At 34.7% G+C, this 10,925-nt stretch overlaps 1 protein-coding gene across 14 annotated transcripts in view; it reads left to right on the forward strand.

Annotated features, from left to right (window-relative positions):
- The window catches only part of RFC3 (replication factor C subunit 3), a 159,229-nt gene that overhangs the window by 13,312 nt on the left and 134,992 nt on the right, over positions 1-10,925 (forward strand). For 11 of the 14 annotated variants that reach the window (XR_007063695.1, XM_011535175.3, XM_047430491.1 and 8 more), the window contains exon 8: positions 3,688-3,757. The exons of 1 other annotated variant lie outside the window; for it this stretch is intronic. Coding sequence is in view for 12 of the 13 variants with exons in the window: in XM_011535175.3 (XP_011533477.1) it covers positions 3,688-3,757 (70 nt within the window). In the remaining variant the exon portion in view is untranslated. Of the gene's footprint in view, positions 1-3,687; positions 3,758-4,643; positions 6,041-10,925 lie in introns of those variants that run through there. 2 more of the 14 variants (NM_002915.4, XM_017020681.3) reach the window with 2 other exon arrangements.

Here is a 10,925-nt window from a genome sequence, read left to right on the forward strand (position 1 = left end):
ATCTATGTATTAACTTTTTAAGGAAAATGTAGCATTTAACTTCAGAAATTTAGTGGTTCAGAATAGTTGGTGTGTGATATTATGGCTTTTATTAAGCTGTAATATCATGGCTTACATGTGATCATGTAAAAGTGGAATTTATATTAATTTTAATTTTCCTTTTAGGATCTCAGATTACTTAACATTAACATACAACACAAAGCTAGAGATAATGTGCGTAGCTTTCTAGTAAAGGACAATGTAAAACTTTGTAATCAATGATGCATCATGTGCTAGAAAGACACCAGACTATAAGTCAGACTTCTAGTTCTTGTCCTGAACTCCTAGCTAAGTGTTCTTGATCAGGTAACTTCATTTTAGAGTTTTATCTTCATTTGTATATTGAAGATATTATTATTGCCTCACCAAGGGTACTTTTGCATTTGTTGTGAAGAGCAAAAGAGTTATTAATGGTTTGAAAACTAAAAAACCCTGTGCTTATAGATGACCATGCGTTCTACTAAGGATAGCATTGTGTATATACCATTTTTACTCAGGAAGTATTTTTTGACACATTTGCTCAAAATTGCTTCCGTTACTTCTGTAGGTCTATTATTTGTAGGTTGACCATTCTGAAAATACCTCAGCTGCTAGTTGTTTGACTTATGGCAGCTTCGATTGAGAAACACAGTTTGCTTTCCTCCAAATAAAAAATGACAATGTTAAGGCCCACTAACTTTGGAGAGTATGAAGAAGGTTCCTCAGACTTGGCTAAAGCACAGTCTCATATCCTTGTTGGGTTTCTGAACTGAGAAATGATCTTTGGACCTTACAGAGGGTAGTTGATCATTTTAGGGTTCAGAATAAACTGAGTTCAGTCTATAGACTGAATAGACTGCAGCCAATAGAGCTTACTCTTCCTTGGTCTAATGAAAATAATAGAGGAATATGCCATGTTTCTCCTTTTGTTGATACATCTGATGAATTCTAATTTTTTAAGAAATTCTTCAAAGGTATTGTAACATGTATTCCCTGGTTACCATATAGATTGGTGGAGGTGGATAGTGGATCATACATAGTGGGTACTTAGTATTTCATTTAAGGTTTGCTTTGAATTCTCAGAATTCAATTATTTTAGTTGAAGAAATCGATAGTTTTCTCCAAGAAGTACCAAATGTTATAAGTAGTCTCATTAGAAAAGAAACTTCATCTTTAGGAAAAATATGTTCATTTTATTTTGTAAAATGTTGATTATCAATAAAGAGACCTCACCCTTTAAAGAGATAAAATTCAAATAAAGCATGTCTTAGGTGCCTTTTACTTTTATAAAATATTTCTACACTGAAGATGACTTTCTTGTTTTTGTTCTGATATTAAAGAAGAAAAATTGATAGCAATATAACTTACCTACTTTTAGGGGATTTAGGTACTTGAGGTTGTAATGTTTGATAATTATCACGTGCTTTTATAAAACTACTTGATTATTCCTTTGCTTAATTCTTCTAGCTGCTGTTACAAATTTCTTCTGGTTTTCCTAACACATTTTGACGGCTTATAAATGAACTTGTGCAGGAAGCGGTGCTCCTGTTTCCTGTTTAAACCAACAATTGTAGGAATTGATTCCATTGTGCTACATAAAAAGAAATTTTGCTCAATTCCAGAAAGCCTTGGGGCTGGCCAGAAATCCTGGAAGTCTGGTATCTTTCTGATCACTGGGCTACACAATTCCAAATGATTACTTCTGATTTCTGACTCCTTTGTCTTGCTGGAATATTTGTGGTCTCGATTTTTCATTTGATCTGTCTTAGAACAGTCATAATTTTCTAATTTGAATAGCAGCGAATATTTCATGAATGATTATGTCAGCTCTTACACCGTGTTATTTAATTGATATAACACACCTATGAGAAAAATATTAACTTTTTAGATTAAAAAAAAAACCCTGACATTTATGGAGATTAGGTACCTTGTTCAGGTACATTCCATTATTATAATAGAGACAGTTCTAGGATACCCATGTTTCTCTGACAGAAGAGTTTGTACTCTTAATCACTTGTAAGCTATTAGGAAATAATGACACAGACATGGTAAATGTAGAATATGTTAATTTTGTAAAACAGTAATGTTAGAAGTTAACTCAAGACTAACACAAGATGCATGTTAACATGTATGCACTACACACAGTATAGTTACTTCAATTGTATAGGTAACTACATCCTGAATCAACTTTTCAGAAGTAAGCTATATACATATATTAAAATAATTTCATACCATATGAAATTATTTTTATTATTCATGCTTTAATAATCAAGTTTTATTCTTGGGATGTCAGAGAAATCACAGGCTTTTGAGTCAGGCCTGAATTCAAATGCTGGCTCAAATACACAAGTCTTGATGGAAGCCTGACCTGTCTGAACTTCAGGTTTGTTTCAGTAAAAGAGCATCATTGTTGTGGGGAATTAATAGTGTATTGCAGCGAACCTAGTACAGAATTAAGGTGTTAAATACTTTCACAGACATTGGAAAGGGTGTGGACTTTGGAGTAAGAAAGATAGATCTGTGTTAAATCATGCTTTGCTGTGGTCAGTTCTGTCAGTTACTTAAACCATCTGGGCCTTAGTTTTTTCATCTGAAATAAATGGGCTAGTGTAAGTACTGAGTTAAATTATTTGTTTCAATTCTTACACATAGCAGATGCCCCAGAAATGCTAGTTCTTTTTTTTTTTCCCCCACTTTTTTTAAGATTTAATGTGCCAGGGCTTCATATTCCTGACGTCTTAGGATTGACTTCTGCTTTTTAAGAATTCTTATAAATCACTACCTGGATTTATCTGAAGTATGGAACATCTGTACTGTGTGTATATATATATATATATATATATATATATATATCTGTACTGTAAAAATTCAGAAGTTTTTCCCTTTAAGAATGTGTATTTGGAACTTTCTCTCTTTTTTTTTTTTTTCTGTTTTAAAACGTCATATGTACATTTCCCTCCTCTTCCCCTTTCTCTCCCTAGAATATGAGAAGGGCCTAGAATGAAGGACTCAGAGGTTTGAATGTTCCTATTCGCTTAGCCTGGTTGCGTGCTTACCTGTAAACCTTTGTGCCGCCCCTTTTATGACAGGGACAGCTCTGTATCCCTGCCACATTGCTTTTTTACTGTGCAATCTAGGCAGTGGCATTGTATTATATTTCATGCGTATATTATCTTGTGTCACCTATGTAATTGACTTTTTAATCTTTTCATGACCATTTCCTGGATGTTTCAGGTATCTGTCTGGAGAAAAGAAAAACATATTACTTGACATGTCATTAAAGTTTGTTAAATTCCATGGTGTGAATAAGCTCAACCCGCGCTCTTCATGAAGTCTCAATTTCTATCTGGTATTTTCATGGTGTTTTGATATAATTAGGAACCCTGAATATAGACGTCTCATTTTAAAAGAGTTCTGAAAATGTTCTGTTTCAAAAATGAACTGAAGTTAGGAGAAGCCTCCATATGTTTATCCTAAGTATGGTAAACTATTTAAGAAACAGTTATTATTTCTTACTGGATTGTTTGTTAATTCATAAAGTTAGGTCATAAAGTTGTTAATTCTGTATTGGATTGTTTGTTAATTCATAAAGTAAAACCATACAGTGGGAATTTGGAAAAATTACCTCTTATTTTCTTCACAAAATACCAATTATTTTGTTTTATGTAGGCTCCTTGAAGTTCGTGGAAGGCTGTATGAGCTTCTAACTCATTGTATTCCTCCTGAGATAATAATGAAGGTAACCCAATTTCAGATCTTGAACTTTTTACAGCTATAAAATTTGGACGCTGGGTGTGTGATCATAGGGCTTTTTGCAGTATCAAGATATCACCTCTTTCTCTCCAGCGCATTAATTGCACGTATTTACTGAACCTCTATGGTGTGCCAGGCACTATTAGAGGAATGCTGAAGAAAAGAAGGGAGGGCCTGCCTAAAGTGAAGTTATATTCTAGTGGTGTGAAAAGGAGAACAAATAAAGAAGAGAATTTCAGAGTGTTGTAAGTGCTGTAAAGGAAATACCAAGGTGCAGGGATGATAATGGAGGGTGGGGCTACAAAGAAAAAAGTGAAGTTCCACCCATCCGTTTTCACAAAGGTAACCACTTTTAACAGACCTCTTTTCTATTCACATAGAAACAAGTACGTGTATATATGTGGTTTCACAAAACTTCTCAGTTTTCCACACTTTAGTATGGATGTTGTGTCATGACCATATGTATAGATTTACTTCGTTCTGTTAATGGATGAATGGTTTTCTGTTGTGTGACTGTATCATAGCTTTTCCGAATATGACCTCCATTGGTGGAACTTTAGGTTGTCTACAAATTATTATTGTTATTATAAATAGTGCTGCAGAAAGCATCCTTACACTTATATCCTTGCACTTTGTGCAGTTAAATATTTGGAATTTAGAATGTGGTTGATACCCACCACATTTTTATGTCATGGAAAAAGTACCCAAAGTTTTTGCTTTTGGATGAAGGTCGTTGATTCACATAAAAAATTAAAGATCTCACACATATAAAGAGAGTATGTTTAACTTTAGTCTTTTTGTGAATGGGAGAAATAAGGCATGCTTAGCTGTTTTTATTAATGATTTTTAAATTACTGATTATTTTTGTTTAGGGCCTTCTCTCAGAACTGTTACATAATTGTGATGGACAACTGAAAGGGGAGGTGGCACAAATGGCAGCTTACTATGAGCATCGTCTACAGCTGGGTAGCAAAGCCATTTATCACTTGGAAGCGTTTGTGGCCAAATTCATGGCACTTTATAAGAAGTTCATGGAGGATGGATTGGAAGGCATGATGTTCTGACTTCTGTCAGTTATTCTTGCAAAGATTTCTCAGTATCAGTATTTACATACAGCTTATATTAAAAGAGCTGTGGGTAAATTAACTGAACTTAATCATGTCGTATTTGCGTTTTTTTGGTAATAACTTCTCTGTGAACTATTAATCATCCTCTGAGTTAAATAATTGCTCCTATACTATTGAAGTATGTAGTTTTGTACATAACTTAGAGACTTTAGAGTCTAAGAAAATGATCTTAATTTACTTTAAGCATTGGTTATTCAAGTATTCATTGTTGATCCTCCTATTCTCTTCCGTCTAATCTCTCACCTGCTAAAGGAGATTTACACATTAGAAAGCAAAGATTATTTTCATTTATCCAGATGACCATTTTCTGCCACAGGTAACATGATTGTTTGACACACCATTATATTTAATTCTAGTTTCTCTCAATGAATAATTGTATTTTTGTAGGAAATGTAAGATTTCATTCTGAAACATAATTATTGGTATGGACAAAATTGCAGATACCATTTCTGTTGAGGCTGCAGATTTCCAACTTTTATTTCAGTGGTTCAGATTAGTATTAGGTCGGTACTAAGAAATAAGCATGTTTTCACTAATTTAAGTACTTGAGACTCTTGAAGAAAATTCAGAATGAAGTTCTGGAGAAAGGTATGTTACTGTAGTAATTACTCTTTGAACAGGTTTTGTGTTTTGTCATTAGCTCTGCCCTTTTTAATTAAATATTTTGGTTCATGGACCAAAGGGTTTACTTGACAAATTTGTGTGACAGACTCCGAACAATTCCTTTACTACGAAGTATAATTTATAAAATAAAATATACCCATTTTAAGGGTACAGTTTGATTTTTGACCAGTGAAACTATGATCCCAATCAAGGTATAGATGCCGTCACCCCAAAAAGTTCCCTCCATATCCCTTTGCAGTCAGTTCATCCCTACCCTGGCCCAGATGATCACTGATCTTGTCATTATAGATGAGTTTTGCCAGTTCAAGAATTTAATGGAATCAGATATTGTAAGCATTCTTGTGTAATACTTCATTCTCTCTCATTATTGAGATTCATCCATATTGTTGAATGTTTCACTAGTTAATGTTTATTGTTCAATATTTTTGTATATACTTTTAAAGCCTATTCACTTGCTGATGGATCTTTGGTTTGTTTCCAGGTTTGGTTATTATGAATAAAGTTGCTGTGAATACTTACGTGTAAGTCTTTTTGTGGACAGGTTTTTATTTGTCTTGAGTAACTACGTAAGAGTGCAATGACTGGGCATACAATATTGTAAACATTAACTTTTAAAAAGTTGCTTAACTTTCCTAAAGTTATATTACTTTACACTTCTACCAGCAATATAAGAGAATTCCTGTTGTTCCTATAGTATTGGTTTTATTGACTTTCTATGTTGTTGTCCATTTATATTTTATTACCTTTTTTATCTTCTACTTTTTCCCTCTACTTATTTTTCTAGGTTATGTACTTGGAAATTTAGATAATTAACTTTAGACTATTCTTTTCTAATATAATTTAAAGTTATAAATTTCACTCTGAGTACTGATTAAGCTTTTTAACATTCTCCTACAAATGTTGATATTTTAGGTTTTCATTTCTACTTAGTTCAAACTTTTCTGATTTCACTTGTGATTTTTTTTTTAACCAATGGATTACTTGGAATTGTGTTGTTCAATTTCCAAGTCCTTAGGGATTTTCCAAATATATTTTTACACCTCCTCTGTCTTTCTTAGTTTTTAGTCTTTCACTGAGAGAAATATTGAAATCTCCCTCCATAATTATGCATCTGTCTAATTCAGTTCTTTTGGACTTCAAGCATTTTGAAGATCGTTCTTAGGTACTTGAATAATATCTTGATATATTGACTCCTTTATCATTATGAAGTGCCCAGTTGCTTCTCTGTCTTTTGGCTAAGATCATGTGTATGAAATGCCCTTTTTTATTTCTAATGATATTCCTTACTGTGAAAATCTACTTTTTTTAATATTTATGTAGACACTCCAGCTTTCTTTTGATTAGTGTTTGCATGGTAGGAGTATTTCTTATAGCGTACGTCTGCTAACAATTTTCTCAGTTTTTGTTTCTCTGGAATGTAGTTTACCATTTATAGGATTCTTGGTTGATTTGGGTGTTTTAAACCCCCACCACTTTGAATATGTCATTCTGCTGCCTTCACGTTTCTGTTGTTTCTGATGACAAGTTAGCCAGTAGTCTTGAGGTTGTTTCCTTTTACATAATGAGCCAATTTTCTTTTGCAGTTTTCAGTATTTCTTTTTTTCTTTGGCTTTTAGTAGTGTATGATATGTCTACATGTAGTTTTCTTTGTATTTCTCCTACTTGGGCTTTGTTGAGTTTCTTGAATCAGATTATTATGAGTTGTATTAGTTGCTTTGAAGTATTTGTTAAACATCTGGCTCCACTCAGAGTCAGTTTCTTTTGGCTGCTTTTTCTCCTGTGTACTGTTACACTTTTCCCTTTTTTCCCTGTCTGGTAATTTTTGGCTGAAAACTTGACGTTTTAGGTAAGATATTTTAGCAACTTAGGATTCTCTTTTGTTTTTCTGACGTTTTTTCCTCCTGATGGTTTTTCTTTTTTTTATTTCATGGATTGCTTAGATGTCAGCTGTGTAATTTGTCTCCACCGCATTGTGCAATCACTGATGTTTCTGCTCAGTCGCTTTTATTTTAGCCTGGCTTTATCCTTCTGTCTGTGTAGTTTAGTGACCAACCAATGATGTGAACAGAGTTTATACTTAGACATCATGAGACTACAAGACAACTGAACTACATGTGGAATGAGGAATGCATTCAAGGTTGCAACCAGTCCTCAGTACCCCTTGGTTTTTATTTTCTAGTTTAGCCGTCCGTCAGTTATATGTGTGAGCTTAGCTTAACCCCTCTGTGGTTCTTCCACTTCTAGGATCTCTCAGTTTAATTTCTGATTTGTCTGTCAATGGCCATGAACTAGGCCTGCAACTTAGGGCTAGCAAAGCTATTGTATGGGTTTTCCCCATCCTTTTTGAACCAAGTCTGCCATTTTTATCCAGCAAAGCAATGAGTTTTCCTTGCCCCGATGTTGAATCAAGTCCACTGCTCTGGCTGCATCCAGCCCTAAACTTATAAAGCTACATTTTTTACTGGCCAAGTGACAGGTGTATGGTTGTATCACTAGGCATAGAGGGTCATAATGTTGCTGCCATTTTTACCTGCAGCTGATAAGTTTTGAAATAATAGACATTCTTCAATTTGTTGTGTGACTTTGATCAAGCTTCAGTGTACTGAATTGGTTGTTTTTTGACAATTTTGTTCACTTCTCTACTTAACTGTAGTGGGAAATCACCCAATATCTTCCTGTTTCCATTAGTAGAAGTAGCCATCCACTGATTGATTTCTTCATTGCTTTTGTAGACTCAAATTTCAGTCTGGCATCATTTATTTTAAAGCCCGAAAAAGTTTATCATTTCTTGTGAAGCAGGTCTGCTGGTGAATTATCTTAAGAGTTTTTTGGCTTAAAAATGTCTTTGTTTTGCATTCCTTTTGGAAAGCATTTTCAATGGACAAAATACAGATGGTTTCAAAATACAAAATACAGATTAAATACTGTAGTTTGACAGTTTTTCTTCCCCATCTGTGTTTTGTCTTCTGGGTTGTGTTGTTTCTGAAGAGAGATATGTAGTCATCATATTTTTAATTTTATTTTGCTACTATGGCTGCTTTTAAGATTTCCAACTTCTCTTTATGACTAGTTTCCAACAGTTTGAGTAAGAAGCGTCTTGGTGCGATTTGTGTGTGTGTTTATCTTGCTTTACACTACTTTGGGTTTGTTGCAGTCCTTGATTTATGGGCTTTTGTATTTTATTAAATTTTGAAAAACTGATTTTGAATATTTTTCTGCCCCTTCCTCTAAGACTAATTACATCGTTATTTGGTAGTGTTGCATAAGTCACAGAGTCTCTCTTTTTCCTAGCTTTTTTCTCACTGTCCTACAGTTTGAATAGTTTCCTTCAAGTTTTCAGCTCTGGCAGTTTCATTTGCTGCTTTTTTATATTTCTCATTGTTTTTATGTTTCTCTTTAAATCTTTTGAACATATTTATAATAGCTCTTCTGAAGTCTGTCTGCTTATTATATCTGTCATTTCTGGATCTGTTTCTATTGACTGATATTTTTCCTGGTTGTGGGTTAGATTTCTTGCCTTTTTGTATGTGCATTAATTTGGATTGGATTCTGGCTCTCTCATTATTACATTGTCATGTTACATTATCAAGTGTCTGAATTCTTTTTTTTGTGTGTGTTTTTTTTTAACTGTTGGACTTTGTCTTGGCAGACAATTACAGTTGATCCTTGAACTACAGAAGTCTGAACTGTGTGTATCCATTTATACGTAGTTTTTTTTTCAATAAACAAAAAATTTTTTTGAGACTTAATTTGAAAATACTCATGGAAAAATGCATAACCTAGAAATATCTTTTAAAATTTTAAAAAGGTACATCATAAATGCCTAAAATATGTGTAGCTACTAGTCTGTTTCATCATTTACTGTGATAAAATATATACAAATCTAGTACAAAAAGTTAAAATTTATCAAAACTTTCACAAACTCAGACCATACATGGTGCCATTCACAGCCAAGAGAAATGTAAACAAATGTAAAATTCAGGGGTCCTCAGCCCCCTGTGGCCTGTTAGGAACTGGGGCCACACAGCAGGAGGTGAGCAACCAGTGAGCACCAGAGACTATTACCACCTGAGCTCCACCACCTGTCAGATCAGCAACAGCATTAGATTCTCATAGGAGTGGGAACTCTGTTGTGAACTGTACATGTGAGGGATCTAGATTGTGTACTCCTTATGAGACTCTAATGCCTGATGATCTGAGATGGAACAGTTTCATCCTTCTCCACCCCTTCCTCCAGCCTTCTGGGGTCCATGGATAAATTGTCTTCCACAAAACTGGTCCCTGGTGCTAAAAAGGTTGGGGAGTGCAGTATTAAATCATAACTGCATAAAATTACAGTACATACTATGCTGCCTGAATACTTCTGTAGCCACCTCCTGTTGGTATTGCAGTGAGCTTAAGTGTTGTATTCATTTAAAATGCCATGTGGTACCTTTACAGATTGAGGTCTAAAGCTGTGGTTGCCCTCAATTTCAGACAGTGTATTCATTTTGAAGTATCAGTACAGTACTGTAGGTGTAATTTCTCTTCCATATCACTCAATATTTTCTGTAGCTTATATAATAATACAGTATATAAGACATATACAAAATGAGTTGACTTTATGTTATTGGTAAGGCTTTCAGTCAACAATAGACTATTGGTAATTACATTTTGGGGGAGTCAAAAGTTATACAGGGGTTTTTGACTGCATAGGGGTCTATGCCCTTAACTCTTGCATTGTTGAAGGGTCAACTGTATTTGATTATCAGCTTGTTGTTTTTCATGCTTGTTTGTAAACTTTTTTGGAGTAGGCCTGGCGTAGTCTTGAGTCCTAATTTAGCTTTAAAATAGGGGCATGATATTTCTAGGGTCTCTACTGCATGTCCTGGAGATCATTGGGGTATAACCATTCTGGGTCACCAGAACTCAAATATCTTCCAGCCTTGTGGGAGCTCTGGAAATTATTCAGCTTGCAGTTTTTATTTTCTCCATGGTTTTAGTTACCCATGGTCAATTGCAATTTGAAAATATTATGTGGCCAGGTGCGGTGACCATGCCTGTAATTCCAGCACTTTGGGAGGCTGAGGCGGGAAAGTTGCTTAGCCCAGGAGCCCGAGATGATCTGGGCAACATATTGAGACCCTGTCTCTACAAATGATAAACAAAATAGAAAATTAGCTGGGTGTAGTGGTATGTGCTTGTGGGCCCAGCCGCTAGTGGGGCTGAGGTGGGAGGATTACTTGAATCTAGGAAGTTGAAGCTGCAATGGGCTATGATCGTGCCACTGCACCCCAGCTTGGGCCACAGAGCAAGAGCCTGTCTCAGGAAAAAAAAAAAAAGAAAAATCCAGAAATAATTTGTAAGTTTCAAATTGCATGCCATTCTGAGTAATGTAATACGATCTAATCTTCCACCATCCTA

The sequence above is a fragment of the Homo sapiens genome, chromosome 13 (genome assembly GCF_000001405.40).
Source record: "Homo sapiens chromosome 13, GRCh38.p14 Primary Assembly".
In the NCBI taxonomy this organism is placed as follows: Eukaryota; Metazoa; Chordata; class Mammalia; order Primates; family Hominidae; genus Homo; species Homo sapiens.